The sequence below is a fragment of the Homo sapiens genome, chromosome 6, assembly GCF_000001405.40.
Source record: "Homo sapiens chromosome 6, GRCh38.p14 Primary Assembly".
NCBI lineage: Eukaryota > Metazoa > Chordata > Mammalia > Primates > Hominidae > Homo > Homo sapiens.
The window spans coordinates 105,157,877-105,183,492 of NC_000006.12; the positions used below are offsets into that span (position 1 = coordinate 105,157,877).

The 25,616-nt window shown below is 39.8% G+C and overlaps 1 protein-coding gene and 1 long non-coding RNA gene across 6 annotated transcripts in view; one reads left to right on the forward strand and one right to left on the reverse strand.

The window, feature by feature from the left end:
• Positions 1 to 12,069, forward strand: part of POPDC1-AS1 (POPDC1 antisense RNA 1) — a 32,259-nt gene extending 20,190 nt beyond the window's left edge. The window contains exons 3-4 of the long non-coding RNA NR_037157.1: positions 8,668 to 8,826; positions 10,855 to 12,069. This is a non-coding gene — a long non-coding RNA (POPDC1 antisense RNA 1). The remainder of the gene's footprint in view (positions 1 to 8,667; positions 8,827 to 10,854) is intronic.
• POPDC3 (popeye domain cAMP effector 3) lies at positions 24 to 22,138 on the reverse strand. 5 transcript variants are annotated; one of them, XM_047419251.1, is made up of 6 exons: positions 18,317 to 18,379; positions 16,674 to 16,811; positions 5,787 to 5,887; positions 3,549 to 4,284; positions 1,835 to 1,943; positions 24 to 875 (listed from the first exon to the last, which is right to left on the reverse strand). In XM_047419251.1, exons 4-6 carry the CDS (start codon positions 4,031 to 4,033, stop codon positions 594 to 596), a joined length of 876 nt encoding a protein of 291 aa, XP_047275207.1. In that variant the 5' UTR covers positions 4,034 to 4,284; positions 5,787 to 5,887; positions 16,674 to 16,811; positions 18,317 to 18,379; the 3' UTR covers positions 24 to 593. The 5 variants fall into 5 exon arrangements, 4 of the variants coding, with proteins under 4 accessions (XP_047275207.1, XP_047275208.1, NP_071756.2 ...); XM_047419252.1 differs by lacking the exon at positions 16,674 to 16,811; NR_024539.1 differs by lacking the exons at positions 5,787 to 5,887; positions 16,674 to 16,811 and having other exon boundaries at positions 3,920 to 4,284.
• Positions 22,139 to 25,616: the final 3,478 nt, after the last annotated feature.

The following is a 25,616-nucleotide window of genomic DNA, read 5'->3' on the forward strand; positions in this document are numbered from 1 at the left end:
CAGCTTTGTTTTCCAGGAAATGCTTCTTTTTAAATGTTATTTTATTTGTAGCAATAAAATAGGCTTCAAGATTCACATATTATTATCTCTTGCATTTATTCTACTTTTTAGTCGCATCAAGTAACTGCACATTTAAAATAAATAATTGCTTTCACTGGAGGTTGTAGCAAAAAAGTGAATTCCGGAAATGCCTATGTGGACAGTAGCAACCCACCCTCAGGCTGAGAATACTTGCTGGCTCTTTCTTGAGAAGCAACTCCTGAGTCTATAGGGCAAGACAATGCATTTGAGTAAATGTGAGAAAAGAATTGAGAAAGTGGAATTTCATTCTCCCAGTTTTGATGCAGAAAAGGGCAAACTGCCCATAGTTATCCACCCCCTCCCCAATTATAACAATGAGAAATACAAGAAAAATTTGTAAAGTTTATTCACAATGCAGTTGTTGAAAGGAATAAAACAGTTGGCAATGGCATCTCGCTTCTGAATTTGATTTATAAAAACATTAGGGAGCTCTTTTTTTGTATTTTGCTATTTCACTGGGGAATGATGAAGAGAGAGTCTTTTTTTATACTTATAAATTTCAGACTTTGATGTCATTTATCACAGTATCGTCTGGAATTCTGAAAATGTTGTGTCAGGGGTGATCTGCGTATTTCTGGAGTTGACATTTGATAGAAGTTGGGTAGCCGAATATCATAGTGATATCTTTTTCCTATATATACCCTGTCATTCAAGGCATAGAGTTTATCTGCAATGTCACTGCCAATTAGCACTGAAAAAAGGCGGGAGATGTAGCGATGCTGAGCAAAGAGCAGATATAATTTCTTTCTCCTCCAAGACACATATCGACAATCAGTTTCTGCAGTGAGGGTTACCTAAAAAACACAAGACCACACATAAACAGATGTGGAAGCAAGAAAACTTCTGCCACATTTTTAGTACCCCAATTGTTAAATTAATTTCACGTGCTGCCTTTTTTTTAGGTTGAAAAAGCCCACTGACCTACAATATATTGCAAAAATAGAAACTACAAAATTCGTTACTACATACGTAATTTATAATATGAATAATCACAATGTTCTAGCCATCTTCAATCTGTCTGTTTTTCTAAGTTCCAGTATCTACATTTCTTTTATTGAAGGGAGAACTACTTGATCTTAAAAAAAAAAAAAGTTGGCTGATGTTACAGAAATATTTCCAAGTCACTTCTGAAGACTGTGGACATTTAACCCTAATGCAGTTTCTGCAGTAGAAAACAGAATTTATATACCTAATTTGCATACATATTTGAGTTTGTTGCATACACACATATATTTGTTAGAAAACTGTGTAACAAAATAAATGAAACCTGCTGAAATGATTATCTTTCAAAACTGCCAGACGTGGCAGCAGAGTAATGACAGTAAGTTTAGCATTCTGTTGCTGTAAAACAACTGAAATCCACTGGCATTTTAAATTTTAAAAATCATTTATTTTTTAGTAAGTGCAGTTTTTTGTTCTTGATGTTTTCTAGACGTCGCATTAGCAGTGTTTAGTCAAATCTCAATTATATTTTAATTCCTAAATACGCAGTTATGCAAAGTAAAGCTTAAAGTATTGATCACAGCCTCCTTCCTGTCATATGTAGCACCTGTTCTTCTCATCGCTGGACCTATAAAGTGGCATTAATCATCAAGAGTCCAGCAGAATTGGGAAAGTCATGTATGCTGCAAAGTACATTCCAAAGTCTTAAAATATTCTTGTCTTATCCACTGTTGTTTATTTGTTTACTTATTTTTAAACAAACATCTGTTTGAAAGAGGGAGTGCTAACTGTGTGTTCTGGTATCCCTTACCTGAAAAATGCCTTCCTCTGTGGGTCTCAGTGAATCCCACTCAGGAGAATCCAGGAACTGAAGGGGGAAAATGTAATGCAGAAATTCGCCATCAACTGTCACTCTGATCCTATCAAAACACAAGAACAACATTTATAAGGGAAGGAGAAAGAGAGCACATAATTGGGGAGGGGTGGGGGGTAGAGGAAGTGTATTTCAGATCCCTGATGACTCTTGCCCTTTATGATTTTGAAAGGCAAAATATTAAATTCATACATTATAATAAGTGACATAATGTCCTGTAAGATTCATGTTATCATGTTCCTTATACAGTCAGGATTCTGGAATATTGAGTGAAATTCATCAGAAAATTCATCAAGTTGTACATTTATATATGTCCATTTATGTGTGCATATTATACTTCAATAAAACATTTTAATGGACTTTGTCAGATTTTAAATTAAGTAGGGAAACATTTAAGAACATAGAGGAGTTCTGCAAATACCTCTGTAAACCAAATTTTTATTTTTTATTTATTTTTTGACAGAGTCTCACTCTGTCGCCCAGCGTGGAGTGCAGTGGCACAATCTGGGCTCCCTGCAACCTCCTCCTCCCAGGTTCAAGCGATTCTTGTGCCTCAGCCTCCTGAGTAGCTGGGATTACAAGCGTGCACTACGATGTCCAGCTAAGTTTTTTGTATTTTTAGTAGAGACAGGGTTTCAACATGTTGGCCAGGCTGGTCTCGAACTCCTGACCTCAAGTGACCCACTAGCCTCGGCCTCCCAAAGTGCTGGGATTACAGGCGTGAGCCACCGCGCCTGGCCTGTAAGCCACATTTTTAACTTTTTGAAAACCATGAGTAATCCCATTATTGTTTCCTCTCCCAAACTTTGTTTTCAAAGTTTATTTTATTTTATTTTTGAGATAGAGTCTCGTTCTGTTGCTTAGGCTGAAGTGTAGTGGCGCGATCTCAGCTCACTGCAACCTCCGCCTCCCACGCTCAAGCAGTTCTCCTGCCTCAGCCTCCCGAGTAGCTGGGACTACTGGCATGTGCCACCATGCCTGGATAATTTTGTTTTTCTATTTTTTCAGTACAGATGGGAGTTTCACAGTGTTGGCCAGGCTGGTCTTGAACTGCTGACCTCAGGTGATTATCCTGCCTCAGCCTCCAAAAGTGCTGGGATTACAGGTGTTTTTGGGATTACAGGTGTTAGCCACCGCACCTGGCCTGTTTTCAAAGTTTAGATTTCTATATATGTTCCTGAAGTGTCTCCCCAGCCTGCTTCTCATGGGCAATTGCTAGAATTTACTGAAGAAAAAAAGATAATAATAAAATTTAAATGTTTTCTGTTACTTAAAAGAAAGCCCTATCAAAGAGTCTTTAAAATATTTTGCACGCCAATATAAGTATTCTATTAATTCAAGCTGACATCATCCTCTTCTCGACTTTCAGTAATTAGGAAACAAATATCATATCACATAAACAAATTCATACTTTATGTAATTTGATTTCTAAGATGAAATATTAAGGCTCTTGATTATTTTCTGCTTCAAGTAAATAATGCCATATATTCTAAATGGCTATGTCTGTGACTCAAGTATCAAAGACTTCCTCAAGCCTCAGGGTGCTAAATGCCACCCAGGACTATGTGATACTGAGATGGAAAAATATAGTGGAAAGAAACACAAACAACTAATACTTGAGGAAAGACATGCAAGCACCAAAGGTACAAACCTTCCTGAAACAAGCAAGGAGAGTTTATCAATGGAAGTTTTCCCCTGCATGGCATAACAGTGTTCCTTTTCCAAAGTAACCACTTCAGAGCTCAAAGCAATCGTTCTGAAGACAGGCAAAGAGATCCCCAGGGGCTGGAAAAGGGAGCTGTACAACACTTGGAATTCTCGGGCAAAGGTTATGCTGCGAACTTGATATGCAATATGAACAAATTGCATGAAGCAGATGACAAACAGTACAAAATTCCAGGAAAATATGTCAGCTGCACAGACATCTACCCAAGCCCAGACAGCAGAACAGAGAAAACCCAACCCCAGCAAACTGAAGACATAAAGGAGCCCGAAGAATCCACTGCCACCCATGAAACCTACTACAAATAAAATACTGGCAAGATGATAAATGGCTCCTTCGGCCTCTTGCTTCCAGGTTGTGCAGACTGGGTGTTCATCTATTAGGTTCTTCCATAAACTTGAATTTCTTTCCATGGCTGTATTACTGCCTGCTTCACTTTTCAGTTGACTTTAGATGACACTGAAACAGGTAACTAAGTCCTTTGGTTCTCCATCATGAGAGTTTTGTGCAGTCTTCACAAAACCAGAGAAAACGGACACTGGAGTTGATGCTGATTAAAGGCTTCGTGTGTACGGATCTTGAAAAACTAAGAATCCCATGCTCGCTTCTTTAAGTTCATCTGGGCTCCTGATTTGGATCCAGTCTGCAAATATTTTGGTATTTCCTATGCAAGAGAAAAAAAGATAAAGGATCTAATTAAACAAAAAGGAGAATTGTGGGGTATATTTAATGATCAGCAGCATTACTTAGCAAGCTGACCTCCCATTTTCTATGAAGTTAGAGTATTTTAAGCACAAATGCTGTTGGGTGTTAAATTTCTATGGTATAAAAAGTATATTTATTAAAATTAGCTACATATTTTTCAAGGTAGCTAAGTGCTCTATATTAATCTCGTCTCTATGGGAGTGATTCAGTGTACCTCACAATCACTCGGGACAGTGACTAAAAATGCGGGCCGGGCGAGGTGGCGTGTGCCTGGAATCCCAGCCCTTTGGGAGGCTGAGGTGGGTGGATCACTTGAGGCCAGAAGTTCGAGACCAGCCTGGCCAACATGGCGAAACCCTGTCTCTACTAAAAATAGAAAAATTACCCAGGCGTGGTGGCGTGCGCCTGGGATCCCAGCTACTCAGGATGCTGAGGCACAAGAATCACTTGAACTTGGGAGACAGGCTTCAGTGAGCCGAGATCATCTTACCACTGCACTTCAGCCTAGGCGAAAAGAGTAAGACTCTGTATTAATACATATATATATTTGCAGATTCATGGACTGCTTCCAGATACATGAACCAGAATCATTGCGGGTGGGGCCCAGATGTTTGTATTTTAAGCTCCCCATGTGATTCTGATGTGTTAATCCATGGTCCTCCATGGCCCACCCTTTGAGGGATACTGTCTGATAATAGATTATTCACTCTTTACACATTAATTTGAGGCTTAGAGAGGTCAGGTAATTTATCCCAGGCCACACAGTGGTCACTGGCAGAGCAGAACTTTGGCGCTCATGCCCATATGCTGGGTCCAATCGTGTGGCCTCTCAGGAAAGATTTTTAAATTTGGCATGATAAGGAACCCTACTATATCAATAAACATAAGAAACATAATTAGAAGTCACATTCTAAGAGCATTAATTGACTATGGAAATATTTAATAAATTAGATTGAAATTATTTGAGAAACAAATGTACTACTTTGTTGTATTAGTGGTTATTTCAGGTTAAAGCTTGCATCATATGATGAAATAAATATTAATATTCCTGTTACTTACATATTTATTTATCAGATGGTCAAAAATATTACCAACTCTGTTCCTCTGCACATACATTCTCTACCCTTTCAGCCATATGGTGGAAATGCTAATATGTAATCTGAGTCAGGAGAGCATTAGCCATGATGACAGAGCTACAGGATATATGTATCATTTGCCACCCAGTTTCCTAACAATAAATGATTTCAGTGTAAAGCATTCATGACATTGATTTTTTAAAACCATGGTAACATTCAAAAGCCTTGAACTTGTGTGCTATATTTAGTGTTTTATTTTTGAAATAGATTATTTCCAGCACACCTGTTAATAAACTATCAGATATCACAGATCTTGCCCCATAGGAGAAAAAATACAGAGGTGAAAATGACTTAGCTGGAGTAAAAAATGGAACAGTGTAATCACCAACAGAAGTAGAAATGGAAATAAAGGAGCTGTTGTTGAAGTTCCTGATTTTTCATCTTGGATAGTGATTCTTTTCTCAGTAAGTAATGACTTCAAGAACACTGCCAGGTGAATCATTTAAAAAAAAAGAAAAAAAAAGCTTAGACTTACAACTTATAGTCATATTGTTGTTTTTGCTTGTTTTCAAATACATTTCAAACATGCTGCATATCCCTAATTATTCTCCCCATCAATCAATCTACGAGATGATGGTGATGAAATTGAAGACAGGCCAGCATCCTGAACATGTTCAATTTCTCCTCTTTTAAACAAAGCACAAAATTTTATTCTACTGGGTATTACAACAAAGAAAAATTATTGTTCAAATACAATGAGTAGTGAGAACTGCAAAATACCAGGCTGCAAATGTCAGTCTCCCTGCTGTTTCAAAACTAGGGTATTTTAAATCAATCAATTCTTCAGGATACCAAACACACCCACGAAAGCCAGTTTAAAAAGATTTGCTAGTGGAGCTCTGAACTTTGGTTTGAACTTCCTTAAAAATTTATAATCCTCAGCGAAATGTTAAAATGATGCTAATAGAGAAAGGCCATGTAAAACGTTCGTGGCAATTCAGAAGGGAACTTCTGGGAATCCTGTCTCCTTAAAAATCTTGATTTGTAGGATATATTGGGGCTTCTGCATTCCAGGGTCATGACCCATTATGATTATAAGGGGAACTGTGCTTCCATCTTTACTAATCTACTTCGTTTCATTCAGCTGTTACCAAACCATCTTTTTATCCTTGATACTGTACTGCTCAATGCAGCGTGCTGACTTGCCCTGATTAAATTACTCCACACCCAGCCCTTCTTCACTTGTGTTTTTATTTGGTCACCAAAACAGATATGCTTTATTAGAAGTGGAAGAACTGACAGGGGCAGGTGATGAGCAGGAGTGTCCTTCTGACATGTGCCAGCAGCACTATATGAATGTCCAACATGATTCATCAACCAGCTGTCTGCCTTAAAGGCCTGTAAGCCTGAGGTCATGTTTTGCGTAAATAAATGCTGACATGCCAAAGTGGCACAATGGATTTCTTTCCTAAGCACTAGAGTTGATCTTCACTGCAAAGTAAGTTAGCACACTGAGCTACAAATGATGAAGACAAACTTAAGTGCAAATAAACACAGTTGTTCCAAGCTCATCTGGGTTTTTTTCTCTTTAAATTGTTAAGATTACGAGTTATAAAGGAATAGGAAATGTAAATGAAGATACAAGGATGCTCAATGAAATGCAAAGTAAACCTGCTGGCAAATTAGCTAGAAACTGCATTTATTGCAACAGAACTTCTGCATTTATTATCTCATTGCCACGAGGGAGGCAGAATCTAAATCATCATGTCCAGCTTACAAATGAGAAAAGAAGGGCACAGATTGGTTGAGTCTCTGGCTTCAGGTAAAACAGGTGGTGGCATGGAGCTCCAATTCCCGTCCGCCCCTCTTTAGACCCTCTCCAACATTCAGTGCCAGCTCTCAAGACTGTGAATCAAATATTAATGTTTTGGGGAACCCAAGTGGGATATTCTTCCAGGGCTGCTTTGCCAAGAAAATAAAAATCCTAACCATGGATATTTCAGACTTACCCTATAAGTTCTTGTACTGTTCAGTCTGTAACTCTTAGAATACTGCTGGAGACACAGAGAGCCGCTCATGAATAATTTGCTGTATTATTCAATATTGACTGGTTTCCTCTCCTAGACTGAAATTCTCAGGGGCAGCAGGGGCAAAGACAAATGCTTTTGTATTTCTGAGCCTTAGCACTCAATAAGTTTGGCTTAATACATTGGTACAGAAGTGCAAGCACTCTGCCTTCTCCCTTCTCACTCTCTATCCAATGTAACAGATATTGTAACATCTTCTGTCATCTATGGGCACAGAATTGGGGGGCTCCAAATGTCCAAGATGTTTAAGTGCAAAAACACAGAGGAGCTGGGGCATCACTTTTTCAAAATGCCTGGCACAACCCCAAATGCATAAGGGAATCCTTTTGTCTGTTCACAACCTTGAACTCCTTAAGAACAGTTTATTGCTTTGATTAAAAACAACAACTTGGGTAGTCAGTGGTATTGAGTGAGTTTTGGTTGCTAAGCAACCCACAAACTGAAAATTCCATCAATATTCTACTCATTAATTGGGATCAGCTCTCAACTTTGGCATGTGTTCCCTAAGCTAAATTATCATTTTCTTAGTTTTTTTGACTTGTCCTTGAGGTGGTACATTTACCCAGCAACTATGTGCCAGGCATATTTTTAAAATTATCTCATTTAACAACCCCAGGAGGAAAGTACTATTATCTCCATTTTACACATAAGAAAATTTAAATTCAGCAAAAAACTAAGTTGTTCAATGTCACATTGCTTATAATGGAACTAAGATTCCACCCAAGAGAAGGGTTCTAGTCTTAGCTGTATCCCTAGATAGCTATGTGATTTTCATCTCCTTAGACTGGTTTCCTCATTGGTAAAATGAAAGAATTGGACAACATCATAAGAGCTCTAAAATGACATGACTCTGTATGATGTGGAGTAGAAGATGATTCCAAACATGGGTCAAAATATAGAGCCGAGTGGCAGAACTGAATTAAGACTGCAGGTCTTAACACCAGGTGTTTGACTGGGGCCCAGCTCCAGAGACTGTTACTTAACTGGCCTGTTTTGTCGCCGGGGCACTGAATTTTTTTCACAAACTTCCCAGGGATTTTGATGTTCAACCAGGGTTAAGAAGTGTCGAACAAATCTAAGAGATAGGAAGGAGGTGACAGGTGGGGGTGGGGGAGGGAAAAGAGACACCAGAACATTCCACAGAATAAAGGATCTGGATTTTAATCCTTGTTTTTAAAGAGCCAGAAAGGTACATTTCCTCTTCATGTGTTCTCACTTCCATCCTTTACCTCGGTGAAAAGACGTTTTCCTTCCGTACACTCATCAGTCCAAGAGGGATGAAGCTTGTGGAAATTTTGCAGCAGCCTTCCCTGACCATGGTGGCCTGAAGTGCACCTTGTAAGCTGAGTTTTTAATGGCCTTTATTATCTGTCTACATAGCCTCCATCATAGATTGTGTCATACTGACCATTATGTATATTTTTCCTTTTTAAAGCATCACAATTTTTTAATTTTTTCAGTTGGGTTACATATTCAAGCATTTAAAAAAATGAACATAGATGGTTGTGTGTGTGTGTGTGTGTGTGTGTGTAGAATAACAGCTTTATTGATAGAGCATTGTGTGTGTGTATATATATATTTATATAAATATATTTGAAATTTTCCTCTGTCTAGCACAAAGTGGTCTTTAGTAAACATTCACTAATAAAGACAAGAGTGCACAGGTAGAAAAACAGTGTTTGAAATAAGCTTGGGATAAGGCTTAATAAATCAGAAAGCTCCTGAATCAACAGTTTAGATGTTGAATTAAAAAAAAAAGGGAAGCATGTATTAGACTATGAGGAAGAGGTGAAAGGATCTATTGAAACAGAGGAACGAAGAAGGGTTGAAGACATTTTGGGGTTATACAAGATCTTGAAGTTAGGGAAAAAGTCAGAGGAAAAAGGAACTCAGTTTTAGCCATGTTTAATCTGATGCTCTGAGTAGCAGAATTTACAGCAGAGGATAAGGGGTAGGATAAAGGGAGAGAGATTTAGCAGTTACTATCACACAGGTCAATGCTAAATAAAAACTAGGGTTGTTAAGATTATTGAAAAAGAGCATAGGGAGAAATGAAAGTGTTCACAATAGATTGTGAAGACTGTACAAAAGTAAAGAATAGGCTGGGCATGGTGGCTCACGCCTGTAATCCCACCACTTTGGGAGGCTGAGGAGGATGGATCACTTGAGGCCAGGAGTTCAAGACCAGCCTGGCCAACATGGTGAGACCCCGTCTCTACTAAAAATACAAAAATTAGCCAGATGTGATGGTGGGTGCCTATAATCCCAGCTACTCGGGAGGCTGAGGCAGGAGAATTGCTTGAACCTGGGAGGCAGAGGCTGCAATAAGCTGAGATCATGCCCCTGTACTCCAGCCTGGGCAACAGAGCGAGACTCAGCCTCAAAAAAAAAAAAAAAAAAGTAAAGAATATGTCATTAATGTTTATATTGATTACATATTGAAATGACAGTGTTTTAGAAATAGTGGGTTAAGTAAAACCTATTATTAAAGCTGCCTTCACTGGTTCTTACTTTAAAAAAATGTTGTTTATGTGGCTTGCATTATATTTCTATTGGACAGTGCTGGTCTAGAGTCTCTCAAGTAACAGAGAGAAGAAATGAAAAGACTTGGCATGATGCTATGCAAACATTGCATATGTATAATGCATAAGTGTATAAATGTGGAAGAATTATCCAAGATTCAGAACAGAGTGTTGATGGAAATGTAAATGGTATTGGTTACAACATTCATATGCTGCCATCAGTCAGATGTTACCCAAAGCATAGATGTCACCATCTGGTTTCTGCCTACAGGGGTGGCCAACCCCACTACAGCACTTGGCTCCTTTATCCTACCAAGGGAAGTATCACCTTTTTCCTTTTGCCTGAGGACAGTTCCCCTTTCCCAAACAATTATATTACATGGTTTAATTTTCTCATTTCATCTTCTGATATGGATTCCAGAGTATATTCACACCAGCCTTTGCTTTCACACAATACTTGGAGACTCTTCATGTACCACTAATCTCTTAGGCTGGAGCATGCTTTTGATCCCCCTTATCAATGAGATCTTGGAGTCTCCTTGAGACTTGAAGAAATCAGAGAACATGCCGACAGGCTACACCGGACTTTTTTCTGTTCTCATGTTTCAGCTAACATCACATTTATCTCTACCCATGATTGATCTCTCATTTTATCACATACAGTGGTAGGCAGAATTCTAAGATGCTCTCAACATTCCTGACCTCCTGGTATACATGCCCTGTATCATTCCCTCTCCTTCAGTGTGGGCAGAACCTGTGAATGGAATGGGATAGATGCTCCCTTGATTAGGTAACATTATATGGCAAATGGTGGTGGAATAGTCACTCTTATGATTATGTTAAGTTATACAGGACTCCATCATAGGACTGGAGAGAGATTGGATGTCAGAGTGATTGATGTGCTCCTACTGGAAGAAGGCAAACATCCATATGTGAACTGCCTGTGGGGTTTCCAAGGAAAGGAACGGCAGGCAGCCTCTATGAGCTTAAAGAAGATAACTGGGACTTTAGTCCTATAACCTCAAGGAACAGTATTCTGTGAACCATCTGAGAAGCTTGGAAGAGGACCCCAAACTCCAAATAAGAAGCTCAGTGTGTCTGACACCTTGACTGCAGGCTTGGGAGGTCCTGAGCAGAAGATCCAGTTCAACAGTGCCTGGACTCCTGATCCACAAAAACTGATAACAAATATTTATTGTTTTAAGATGCTAAGTTTGTAGTCATTTTTTATACAGCAACAGAAAACTAAACACACACATAAACAGTTATAAGTGCTCACTGTATATGAGGCTTTTCATTAATAATCTATATTTTATAATAGAATTAGAATATAGATCTGTGAAGCTGAAGACACTCAATCCTTGCTAGATTTAAATCAGGAAAATCAGCTGAGAATCATTCCTTGATAGAACCTGGAAAACAAGACCCTATGAGAGACCCTGGGAATTACATTAAATTCACTGTGGTTCCCAGTGTCACTGAAGAGGTTTTCCTTTCATAGTCAGGTAGTCACCATACTGTTAAGCATTTGAACACATGGGCAACTTCCAGAATAGTTATGACATTGATATACCAATCTCCAAAATTCCTAGAATACCATGTTTTCATGGTTGACCTTCAAATCAGTCAGTTCTTTGTAACATTGAGCCATAAAGATAGGGCAAATACTTAATGTTTTACATATATTCAGAGATTGACCCTCAAAATACAGCCCAGAGAAACTCAAAAGAATTAACTCTATTTCTTCAAATTGTGTGACGCCACCAAGGCCAGATGACTTCAGCATTGGGAAGGCAATATCCAGCTGTCATCTTCTTGATCCTCATATGCTACTACTAGCATCTAGCATTTACTGAGCAGATAGTTTTATTGTCCAGTTTTTAAAGATAAGAAAATTGAGGTATTAGGAAAGTTAAGTTGGTTGCCTAGGGAAACACGAAGATATAGCCCAGATTCACTCCCAGGCAGGCAGATGCCAGTGTCTGCTCTCTTTACCACCGAAATATCCTGCTACATGTACAATTTCAATAAATATCTGGACTTACTGGAACAAAACAAATCAACAACATTCTTATTTTCTTTCTTCAGTTTAGATTAAATAATTTAAATGTCTTCTTAAGAAGCTACAGTTTTTTGAGGCACAGAGGGATAGGAGGGTAGGTCCTACCAGTTGAGTCACTCAGCCCTATAGTTGTGAAAATCCTTAATTTTAAGAAGCAGCAGTAAAGTCTCTACTTCTCAAGCTTGCCATTAGATGGTTTTAAATAATTGACAGGCTCTGCTCAAGTTCTTCTGATTTCTCCATATCCTGGAAATGGTTAAAGGCATAAGCAGGAAGCCATTCCCTTTTGATGAGCTGCTATGACATCATGCAGTAAGTTTACTGAAGAGAGATTCCTGATGAAAGATGCAAGAGAAACTAGATACATTAAGCAGTCGTTTCTTTATATGAATCAATGGGACACCTTTGCTTTCCTTTACTCTAAGTGACCTATATGCAGAAAATGAACTCACTTTTCCTATGTTTAGATCAAGTTTTCAAGTTACTTCCTGGCAAACAACCCTAACAAGATCATGTATGATAGTTAATTGGCCATAATCTCTGCCTTTTCTTTTTTTCTGGCTAAATAACCAGGTGGACCACACATTTGGGTCAGGGGAGTCACATTAGGACTCTTTTAGTAGAGAGAATGCCAGATGTAGATATCACGCTTATTGTCTCAACAACATGACACTTAATAGCACTTCTACGCCACTTTAATCAACTAGAGTCAATTCCACTGTAACACAACAACATATGTGATCCTAAACAGTCACTGCACTATACTAAACTGTGCAATAACAACCACAGGGCTCACAAGAAAATGGGGTTAGTGATATAACACTTAAAATCTTCATCAGTGGCACATTCTTTAAAAGATAGGAATTTAATAAAAACAATAGCACAGTTACATCTATCTATCTTAAATGGTTAAAAATACACAAATATGGCACTTGATATTAAAAAAAGGCCAAAAACTTGCTAGGGAGGTGGAATGGGAATGGTTGCCATTTGTGAGTTATGGTGAAGCGGTGGAAGAAGGAATAAAAACTGTGCTCTTTCTCAGCCCTTAAATCCTAGAATGAGCATGTTTTTATATAGGAAAGTTCACAAGTGTGAAAGGATAGCAAACTGTAAATTTTCAAAATAATACATGGCAAACCAAGATAGCTGGTAGATGTTTGAGAGGTATGTGTTTGCATTTTGCATTTTGCATTTTGTGTATCCCTACATGGCTTAGGTCAGCTAGTTGCAATTTAATGAATTCACCCATTGTTTTTTCTGGGTAAAACATGCGTAAGCAAACATGAAAGTTGTATTATGCCCAAATCGTTCCCTAATACGTCAATTTTTTGGAATAATGCTTACTTTCAAAACATGCATTATAACATAATTAACTGTATCATTAGCTCTCAAATGGCCTTAAAAATATTGTGAATTAATATATGCAATAATTCAGGGCCAGGTACAGTGGCTCATGCCTATAATCCCAGCACTTTGGGAGGCCGAGGTGGGAGGATTGCTTGATCACAGGAGTTTAAGACCAGCCTGAGCAACAAAGTGAGACCCCAGCTCTACAAAAAAATTAAAAGAATTTGTTGGGCATGGTGGCATGCACCTGTATTCCCAGCTACCCAGGAGGCTGAGGCAGGAGAACCACTTGAGCCCAGGAGGTCAAGGTTGCAGAGAGCTGTGATCACGCCACTGCACTCCAGCCTGAGCGACAGAGAAAGACTCTGTCTCAAATAATAATAATAATAATTATTATTATTAATTAAAAACCTGTCCTCATGGAGCCTGCATTTTAGTGAAATTCCAATGTTAACACTATTTAAGTCCAGTTTTCAAAACTGTGATCTATTTTAAATATTACTAACTAAAAATACACCTTATCTACAAATAAACTACCTAACACTTATTTCGTTTATTTTATTATATTAGAGATGGAGTCTCCTTGTGTTTCCCAGCCTGGTCTTAAACTCCCAGACTCAAGTAATCCTCCCATCTTGGCCTCCCAAAGTGCTGGGATTACAGGCGTGAGCCACTGTGCCCAGCCATTAAAACTCATTTAAAGTCAGTTGTTGCAAAGCCAAAATTGACAAATGGGATCTAATTAAACTAAAGAACTTCTGCACAGCAAAACAAACTACCATCAGAGTGAACAGGCAACCTACAAAATGGGAGAAAATTTTTGCAATCTACTCATCTGACAAAGGGCTAATACCCAGAATCTACAATGAACTCAAAACAAATTTACAAGAAAAAAACAAACAACCTCATCAACAAGTGGGCGAAGGAGATGAACAGACACTTCTCAAAAGAAGACATTTATGCAGCCAAAAAACACATGAAAAAATGCTCATCATCACTGGCCATCACATAAATGCAAATCAAAACCACAATGAGATACCATCTCACACCAGTTAGAATGGCAATCATTAAAAAGTCAGGAAACAACAGGTCCAGTGGAGAGGATGTGAAGAAATAGGAACACTTTTACACTGTTGGTGGGACTGTAAACTAGTTCAACCATTGTGGAAGTCAGTGTGGCGATTCCTCAGGGATCTAGAACTAGAAATACCATTTGACCTAGCCATCCCATTACTGGGTATATACCCAAAGGATTATAAATCATGCTGCTATAAAGACACATGCACACATATGTTTATTGCGTCACTATTCACAATAGCAAAGACTTGGAACCAACCCAAATGTCCAACAATGAGAGACTGGATTAAGAAAATGTAGCACATATACACCATGGAATACTATGCAGCCATAAAAAAGGATGAGTTCATGTCCTTTGTAGGGACATGGATGAAGCTGGAAACCATCATTCTCAGCAAACTATTGCAAGGACAAAAAACCAAACACCGCATGTTCTCACTCATAGGTGGGAATTGAACAATGAGAACACGTGGACACGGGAAGGGGAACATCACACACTGGGGCCTGTTGTGGGGTGGGGGGAGGGGGGAGGGATAGCATTAGGAGATATACGTAGTGCTAAATGACGAGTCAATGGGTGCAGCACACCAACATGGCACATGTATACATATGTAAAAAACCTGCACGTTGTGCACATGTACCCTAAAACTTAAAGTATAATAAAAAAGTCAGTTGTTGCATACTAAATTTTAAAGAAATGCTACATTTTAAAACAGTCTAAAGTCTTAATGAGATTAGAATCATTATCTTAAATTTCCTTTCATATCTGACCAAGTATTGATCAAGGATGCTCCACTAGTTGGTGGGTTTCCATGCATTACCAAGATTTAATATAAACTTGAAAATGAACTCAAACAACAGAAAATAAGCTGAGATTCCACAAAATAAATTCCAAACAGAATGTTTTAAAGTGCTTCTGTTTATCTCTTTTTCTCATGGAGGTTAAATTTTCTTTATAACATAGAGGAAAAGGTACTAGCTCTCCTTCATGCATTGTGACTTCCAGAACAATTATAATGTAACATGTGTTTGGAACTTGAATTCTAACACCACCCCTCCTGCATCTTGAATGGAGGAGTAAGTAATAATAACCAGCATCTGTTGAGTAGCAACCCTGTGTCAGAACCTGTGTGAACTACTACATGTATATTATTTCATAGCTCCAAAAATACTGGGGGCAGGAGGAAGGGGTAGTTATTTTCCTATTTTTCAAGCAAGAAAACCTCTTTAAGAAAGACTTGGCCGAGTTAGAATCCAAATATCCTCATATCTAACCTGCTTCTGTTTATACCATGCTACACTTTCATTTATAAATCAGTTACATTTTAATCATTTTGACAAGTACAGTGAATGAAGAAAACAGGAGAAATTAAAACAAGATAACAATCATTATGGAGAATAAAGATGAGACAGTGTGAGAATAATTGGTGTCTTTGAAGTAGAGAATTACAAAATTGGAAAGAAAAAGCATTCATAATGGGAAAAAAAAAAACCCTGAAATTAAGAACAACAGATTATTCCAATAGAAAGAACAGAAATAGAAGGAATGCACCAGGTTCCATGAAAAATTGATACAGAACTTAACAAGGATATAGCCTGAATTACTACACTTCAGGAATATAAAGGATACTTTAGGACTCCGGGCAGAAAAAGCAAATCAATTGCAAGGAAGAAATTTTTTCTTAGATGGAGTTTTGCTCTTGTTGCCCAGGCTGGAGTGCAATGGCACAATCTTGGCTCACTGCAACCTCCGCCTCCCGGGTTCAAGCGATTATCCTGCCTCACCCTCGAAAGTAACTGGGATTAAAGGCGCTACCACACCCGGCTAATTTTTTGTATTTTTAGTAGAGATGGGGTTTTACAATGTTGGCCAGGCTGGTCTTGAACTCCTGACTTCAAGTGATCCGCCCGCCTTGACCTTCCAAAGTGCTAGAATTACAGGCGTGAGCCACTGCGCCCAGCCAGAAATTTTGAAACCAAACTTAGACTTCTCTACAGCTACATTAGATGCTAGCAGTGAATGGAGCGAAGGCTATATAATCCGGAGGTAAGGAAACTGGCTCAAAAATGGTACAGCCAGCCAAATGGTCATTCAAGTACAGATGCTCCCCAATGTACAATGAACTCATGGTAAGCTGAAAATATCGTAAGTTGAAAACACACGTTTGACTTACAGTTTCTCAATTTATGACGATGATGTGTTTACTTGGGTGTAACCACACCGAAAGTTGAGCATACTGACTGTGTATTGTCTCTGCACCATTATAAAGTTGAAAAATGGTTAAGTCAAACCATTGTGAGTCAGGGACTGTCTGGAAAGAAACATGGGCATTTCAAACATAAAAAGACACAGGAAATGAGCCCTTCTTGGAAACAAACAGACACACTGACAAAATCTAGCCAATCAAAGGATGAATCAAAAGTTGATACTTGAGATGCCATGGTAAAAGAACCAGTGATTCATCGTGATTTCATTTAGTTATAAAACTAAGACTAAATTATATCTGAAATGGCCAGGCGTGGTGTCTCACACCTGTAATCCCAGCACTTTGGGAGGCTGAGGCTGGTGGATCACGAGGTCAGGAATTCGAGACTGGCCTGAGCAACATGGTGAAACCCCATCTCTACTAAAAATACAAAAATGAGCCGGGCGTGGTGGCACACGCCTGTAATCCCAGCTACTCAGGAGGCTGAGGCAGGAGAATCACTTGAACCCGGGAGGCTGAGGTTGCAGTAAGCCAACAATGCTCCACTGCACTCTAGCATGGGCAACAGAGCAAGACTCCATCTCAAAAAAAAAAAATTGTATCTGAAATGAAGTTTACAAAACACAATGCAAATGTTATAGATCCTCACAATATAAACATATTTTTAAAATTGGGGCTGGGTATAGTGGCTCATGCCTGTCATCCCAGCACTTTGGGAGGCTGAGGTGGGAGGATGCCTTGAGCCTAGGAGTTTGAGATCAGCCTGGGTAACACAGTGAGACCCTAACTCTCCAAAAAAAAAAAAAAAAGCTGGGTGCCATGGTGCATGCCTGTAGTCCCAGCTACATGGGAGGCTGAGGTGGGAGGACTGCTTGAGCCTGGGAGGCTGAGGTTGCCGTGAGCTGTGATCATGCCACTACAGTCCAGCCTGGGTGACACAATGCGACCCTGTCTCCAAAATTAAAAAAATAAAAAATAGGCCAGGCGCAGTGGCTCATGCCTGTAATCCCAGCACTTTGGGAGGAGAGGTGGGAGGATCACCTGAGGTCAGGAGTTTGACACTAGCTTGGGCAACATGGTAAAAGCCCATCTCTACTGAAAATACAAAAATTAGCCGGGCATGGTGGTGCATGCCTGTAATCCCAGCTACTTGGGAGGCTGAGGCAGGGATATTGCTTGAATCCAGGAGGCGGAGGTTGCAGTGAGCTAAGATCGCACCACTGCACTCCAGCCTGGGGTGACAGAGTGAGACTCTGTCTCAAAAAATAAATAAAGAAAGAAAGAATAAAAACTGGGATATGAGTAGAAGTGAAACTATAGGTAATGTAAGAGTGCCCAGTGCTCCATCCTTTATAACAGGGAGCCTCTGACTGTCTAAATTAATGTATGTTTAAAAAATCTTGATCTCAAGATGTATTCAGAAACTTTTCTCTTAGTTTGGAAGACTTGTTTATCTCTAAGAATGAAGAAATACTGATGTCAAGTTCAGCAATTCCTTCACTTTCACTACAGTTTCTTCTGTTAAAATATAATTTTTTTATTTTAAAAAGCATATATAGTATCATCCTGTTAAAAGAAAAACTTTAGATAAATTCAATTTAACAGTTTACCTGAGCAACAAACAACTCACGAATCAGGCAGCACTCACAACCAGAAGAGGTTCACAGAGCTCTATCCAGCAGCATGAGCTGCAGTTTTTATACACTGATGACAGAAGTAAAAAACCAAAATCACTCGATTGGCTACAGCTCTGCATCTGCTTTATTTGGGCATAATGTGATGAGCTGGCCGCCTGTGATTGGCTGAAACCTGGCTATTACAAAAAATACACTGTTGAGTTAGTTTTCTGTTCGTTTATGTACAAAGTTAGTTTTTCACACAGGGACTCAAAGTAGGGAGAAAGACTCAGGCTAATGGCCTCCTGCTTATTTAACAATTCTATTTTTTATAAAAGCATTTCTTTTTAATCTTTTGACATATCGTTTTTTTTTTAAGACAGAGTCTTGCTCTGTCACCCAGGCTGGAGTGCGGTGGCGCGATCTCAGCTCACTGCAAGCTCCGCCTCCCAGGTCCAAACAATTCTCCTGCCTCAGCCTCCCAAGTAGCTGGGACTGCAGGCGCACGCAACCACGCCTGGCTAATTTTTGTATTTTTAGTAGAGACACGGGGTTTCACCACGTTGGCCAGGCTGGTCTCAAACTCCTGACCTCAGGTGATCCGCCCGCCTCAGCCTCCCAAAGTGCTGGGATTACAGGCGTGAGCCACCAAGCCCGACCAACATATCCTATTTGTGTAAAAATAGAAAGACATACGCAATGATTTTCACTTCATGTTAAAGATGAATATATCTTGATAGTGGGATAGAAACTATTTTTACCTTTTTAAAAACAGCTGCATTATTTGTATTCTTATAATGATTTTGGGAAACAATATGGTGATTTTATACCAATGTAAAAAAATTTTAAATATAAACATTTAAAAAAATCCATGAACCCAACAACCAGAATTAACAACCATCAACACTGTCATATTTTCTTTAGATTGTTTCATAATAAAAAATATTCCACACAAAAAATTGAAGACTGCCATGGATTGTTCTCCAGGACCAGTCGCTGCCCATCCACTCCCTATATAGTACATAATTTATATTTCTCTATATTTAAATATTCACTAATTAAAAAATACAATGTAAAATGAAACAGACAATGTAAAATGAAATCCTGGACTAGAAATAACTCAAAGTGTGGGGTTTTTTTTTCAGATTCACACTTAAATTTTTTTCTGATAATTTTGAACACATACAAAAATAGAGAAAATAGTATACAACAAATTCCCATATACCTGTTACCCAGATTCAACAATTATCAAGATTTTGCCACACAGAATTTTGAAATTAAAAGCAAAAGCTGTTATCTACAGTTCAGCTGCAATTTGTTCAGCTAGGAAACAAACACCTTCCAAAGAAGACAGGAAGAACCAAGATCAGCTGTGCTCTTTCTCTGTGCAGGTACTAATTCCTAAAACAGATCCATTTAGGAGTCACAGCAACTCTGAAACCTACATACTATTGTCAGCATTGTTCAGAGTGGAAGATGAAGCTCAGAGGGATGGAGATTCTTCTGTAAGCTTAGCCAGTTGCTTGTCCTTCCAATACTACCCCACAACACCTTCCTTCATGATCCCATCCTAGCCAATTTCAGTGTGCCAGAGTCACTGGAGGTTATTATTCTGTTGAAGAACACAAAGTAAGAAAGTCTCGCTAAAAGTCTGTGTGAATCAATCCCTGGATTCTCTGGGTTGGAGGAGGACCCTGCATTTTTATAGGTAATTTCAGTCAGGAACTTTCGGTTATTTATTTAATTTAGAAAACACCTGATGTAATTTTCCTTGTAAGACTTTTTCTTATAACTACTTAGATAAAAGGGAGAAACATTTTCTCTCTTCCTTTAAAACAATCGAATCGGTGATTCGATATACTCTTCTATTAATTGGAGGGACATTCTCTCGAGGGAGCTCATAATCCCAACTGACCAATGACCATAATTACAAAATGTGATCTCAACTGCAGTTTACAGACTTTCAGATCTATCATGGATATTTCCAAAGCAGTTTTGAAATTTCTTGCCTGCCATGTTGCTTATGTGTTATGCTCACATACTGTAGCAAATGCTTCATAACATTCTTAATTCTTCCTGGAGACTGTTTCAAAATAAGCAGGCATCAGTGCTCTAGTGTGTCAACCGTATTAGTCAGTCTTGTGGTGAAAAGTATGGGACTTTTGTTTCCCATGACACATTTTTATTTAATAGCATAGAATGTAACCATTTAGAGGCAGAAGATGCACCATGATTCAGCTATTTTGAGGGACTGATATGATTAAAGAAACTCAACTATCAAATATTTCCCATTTAAATGTATAAAATTTTGAGGACAGAGAATATCTTAGATTTCAATTAATATTTGTATCCCAAACTCCTGAAGACACACACACACACACACACACACACACACACACACACACACACACAGATTTTTCAGGACAGAACCTCAGAGATATCTGGAATCTGGGATCAGCCAGAGCTCTTCATTTTGCGAATATGGAAACTGAGATCCAATTTTTTGTTTATATTTTCTGTCTCATGTAGTTCTTGTTTGGTTTTCTATTGTCACAAAGAACAATGCCAAGTTATTGTACTCTCACAAGAGGATATTTTCATGCAACAGTCCGTAGAATTAAAAACAAGAAGGAAAAAAAATAGCCACTAAACTTAGTATGAACAGGCAACAATAATTTTTTAAGGCTGCTATAAAACTCAATTGCAGTTTGTAGGCTTGCAAATTCAAAATATCTAACTACCGGAATTAGAGTGAAAAGTCAGGAAGCAACGAAGTTTAGTAAATCAAATTGCGTCCAAAAGTGGGCTTCTAATTCTACTTTTCCATTTATTATTTACAAACAGAATTTTTCACTTTCTGCAAATGTCTTCTGGCTAAATTTTTGGCACTGCCCCTCTTACTGTATTTTGGTTGTGCCTTTCATCTTTGCCTAAAATACAGACCCTCAAAACTATACCACTGTAACCGACATGGTGATAAGACAATTTAGGGGTTGGCAAATTTCTTTTTTGGCAGGGGGATCCCCAAATGGAGAAAACAGGTCCGCGCGACCTTTGATGAGGCAGCTTTTTTGTACCCCCAACTCTGTGAGAACAGTGTGAGAGCACTGACACCAGTCAGGCCCTTTGCTTACAGACCGGGGGCGGGAGTAGGGGGGAAGGAAACTCCCGGCGCTGGCATGACTTCCCCAGGACTGACAAGGGCCCCTAGGAACGGCTTTTCTCCCTTGCAAAACTGGCCTGTTTATTTCGGCTCCAGGGTGCCTGGGGCCAGAGTAGGACCTGCAGGAAAAGATCTGGGAGGAATATTCGCCCAGAAGCCTCTAGGGCATACGACTCGCGTTCTTCAGGGGTCGGCGCGGATAGGAACCGCAGCAAAGGATCCCCTAGACCTCCGAGCTGTGAGCGGCGACACAGCCGGGACCCCAGACCCCGGACCCCAGGGCGCGGAGTTGACCGGAGCCGGGAAGGGAGCGGCGCGGGCAGCGCGGGGCAGCGAGACGCAAGCGCTCGCAGGGGTCGGCGGCCCAGCAGAAGCCGCGCCCGCTAAGTTGCCCGAAGCGGCCGCGAGGTGCGAGGGTGCGGACAGCACCGGAAGGCGGCGGACGCAGCGCCCCCGGGCTCACCTTCTTACCTTTCCTTCCCAGCCCTGCCCGGAGCTTCAGCCCGGCGCCCGCAGAAGTTTCCCGGCGGAGCGCGCTTGACCCGGGTGGCCCGCGCGGAAGCCCTCAGCGTCCCCCTCGTGAGTGCCTCGCCGCCCACCCTGCGGCGCCGGGCGCAGCGTGACCGCAGCGGGCTCCGGAGCGGCGCGGCGGCGCGGGCGGGTGCCGGGCACGGGCGCGCGCCCCGGGGCGCAGCCGGGTGGGCGGGCGCGGCGGCTGCGTCTGGGCCGGGGCAGGCGGTTCGGCCACCGGGGTGCGGGGCTGCGGAGAATCCTAGCGGCCGCTACGGACCGAAGTTTCCAAAGATGCGGTTCCCCGAGTGTACACCGCTCCCGGTTGTAACATACACCTAGTATTCACAGTCACACTAGGCAGGAGCGATGGGCTGGCTGCTGAACCAAGGCAACTGCACGCCTGCTCTCTCACCCCCGCTCCACACACACCGTAAACAAAATGAAGAGGTAAATCACCATAGTGGGGACGGGAATATTAGGGTGTATTGGACAGAGAGAGAGAGAGAGAGAGGTAAATATAGTATTTTTTTTTTTTTTAGAGATGGTGTCTCGCTCTGTCACCCAGGCTGGAGTGCAGTGGTGATCACGGCTCACTGCAATCTCGACCTCCTGGGCCCAGGCATCCTCCTGACTCAGCCTCCTAAAGCTTAGGATTGCAGATGTGAGCCACCGCACCCAACCAATAAATACGGACTGTTGCATGAAAAATAAAATATCTATATTCAAATCAATGAACATCTCTAAAAGCAAATGAGTAAAGGGCATAGACAATCATAAAAGGAAAAAATTTAAAAACACAAATGACAAAAAGCTCATATCAGTAATAACCAAATGCATACAATTTTAAAGCAATGATCAGGTGCATTTTTTCTTCCTTTGCAATTAGCAAAGTTTTGTTTTGTTTTTGTGATGAAACAAATGTGAGGGTTGGTGACGACCAGTAAAACACGCCACTAATTTAAGAATGTCATCTCCTGTCTTCTAGTTCGCTTTCATTTTATATAACCATATTGATAACAGCGACTCCAGGAACAAGAATTTATTGAGCAATCAGTGTCTTTTTTGAGCCCCAGGGTAACCACAAAAACAGTGAATATAGATGGTAAAATTAACTCCCTTTAATTGATGCTGGAACTGAGGATCAAGAAATACACATATTCTTACACCCCAGAAATGGCTAGAAACCAGTTGACTCCTAGGCCTTTGCTCTTTCTCTTCATTGCAGGGATTTACTCAAATGTTGGAAATCCAGTTTGAACTGGATGTAGTCCATAGTGTGTGTGTGTGTGTGTGTGTGTGTGTGTGTGTGTGTATATATATGTATATATATATATATACACACACACACACCTTTAAACTATGGCCAGGGAAGTGAGAAGCCCATGAACTTTGAGGTCAGATGTACTCTGGATTTAGATTTTACTTGTTTAGTGTCCTACATTTTAAAAATTTAAGGATTATATTACTGTTATTTTTAATTTAAAAACTCAGAAGCTGTTACTGTTGCCCTGGATTCTTATGATCTCCCATGATAGAGATTAACAGAGATCACCAAACATAGCAGCAAAGGAAAGTGTATTCAGCTTGTGCGCAAGGGAGTCAGCACCAAGAAAGGCAAAGGAACGGACTGCTCTGAGGATAGTGTGTGGGTCAGTTTTATAGGGTCTTTCTATAGGGGAGGGTTACATCAGGGCACCTATAGGAGGAGTTTTTCTAGTGCTTGCACAGTGGCCCAATATGCTTTTTCATACATCATATGTAGCATTAGCATTTTAAATCTCCACCCCAGGAGTAATTTTTAGCATTAAAGTGAGGAAGGGGTAAATGTAGGTTGGAGTTTAAGTCTAACTGTACAGGCGGGGATCTGGGGAAGTCCCTAGCCCTCTGAAATAGGAGCTTGCAGTTAACAGCTTCTTGGGTGTTTTGTTACCTATTGACTGAGAGTTAGATAAGCTAGAGCTTGAGTAAGGAGCTTTTATCCTTTTTCACCACACCATCTTAAAATAGCTTTCCTGTCTCAATGCAACAAAGATATCCCTGTGTGACAGATTCTTCAGTGGCCCCAATAGTTTCTGATTCCCAGTACCTGTTCATGTTCATACCTGTGTTAGATCCCCTCCTCCTAAGAGGGGTTGGGACCTGTGACTTGCTTCTGAAAATAAATATAACAAAGGTGATGGATATCACTCCCATGACCACATTACATTATAAAAGACTGTCTCTTATGAACAGACTCTCTCTAGAGACTGTCCGGTCTGGCCTGATGAAGGCAGTGGCCATGCTTGGAAAGTCCACATGGTGAGGAACCATGGGCAGCCTCTAGGAGCTGAAAGGCAGCTTCCGGCCCATAGCCAGCCAGCAAGAAGTCCTACAAACTCCAGGAAATGAATTCTGTCAACAGCCTAAGTGAACTTGGAAGTAAATCTTTCCCCAGTCAATCATCCACATGAGAACACAAACCAATGACACCTTAATTGCAGTTTTGTGAAACCCTGAGCAGAGGATCTACTTAATCCATGCCTGGACTCCTAAATGCACCCCCCGACCCAAATTTTGAGAGTATATACAGAGTGCGATCCCTCTTTGAAAATTTTGTGTTAAATACTGCTGCCCTGCTGCATTCTGATTTTTCTCTTTCTTACTCCTTCACATGTATTTTCTTGCCTTGATCATGGCAGAGTTCTCTTTCTCTGTATCCCTCATTTTTTGTTATTATACATTTTATTGTATAAGTAATACATGAATATAATTCAATATACTAAGATATATTGCTTGGCATTATACTGTATCTGCCAACTTTCTTTTCCAGACAACAAAATACCTTGAAGTTCATTTATCTTTTCACATATATAGTATATATAAAATTCTTCTTTTAAATGACTATATACTATTATATTATTAGTATGTCTACCTGAAATAATGGAAAGGATCAGAATCCAGTTTAAAAGCATTTTTCCAAGTGAAAAGCTGAGAATGCCATTCAGATAACACAGACTCCAAAGGAATGGAGTTAGTGCTCCAAAGTTAAGATCTTGCATATACCAGCAGAAAACAAAGAAACTTAGTAGGATTATAACATTTTCTATACAAGGCTGGTTTATGACTTACAACAATTTAATTAGTTACAATTTGTTTTCTTTTCCATACAGCTTGTTTTCTTTTCCTATTTAAAAGAGTGTATTTAACATTCCATCTTAGACAATGTGATAGTCATGAAGTCTGTGTGAGAGAGGAAAGAGGGAAGTTACTCTATAATGAAGATCAACAGTTAAGAGAGAAGGGGTCTTCCCTGGTACCCTTTAGTCATTTATAACATTTTACAAAACAACATAGGTAAAGACAAAGGCTAATCTTAATCAGAAAAACAAAAGGTCACAGCTGCCTACTTTATAGCTGCCTGTTTACATGTGACTCAGATCCCATAATCAGATTCCCTTAAGGCTCAAAATGTTTTAAAGTTCCAACAGCTTAGATTTTTACTTGTTTTCACAAACATATCACAGTGCATCCATCCTCTTAACTATTTAGGTTTTTTGTAGTTTTTTTTTTTTTTTTTTGAGACAGAGTCTCATTGTGTCACCGAGGCTGGAGTAGTGTAGTGGTACAATCTTGGCTCAC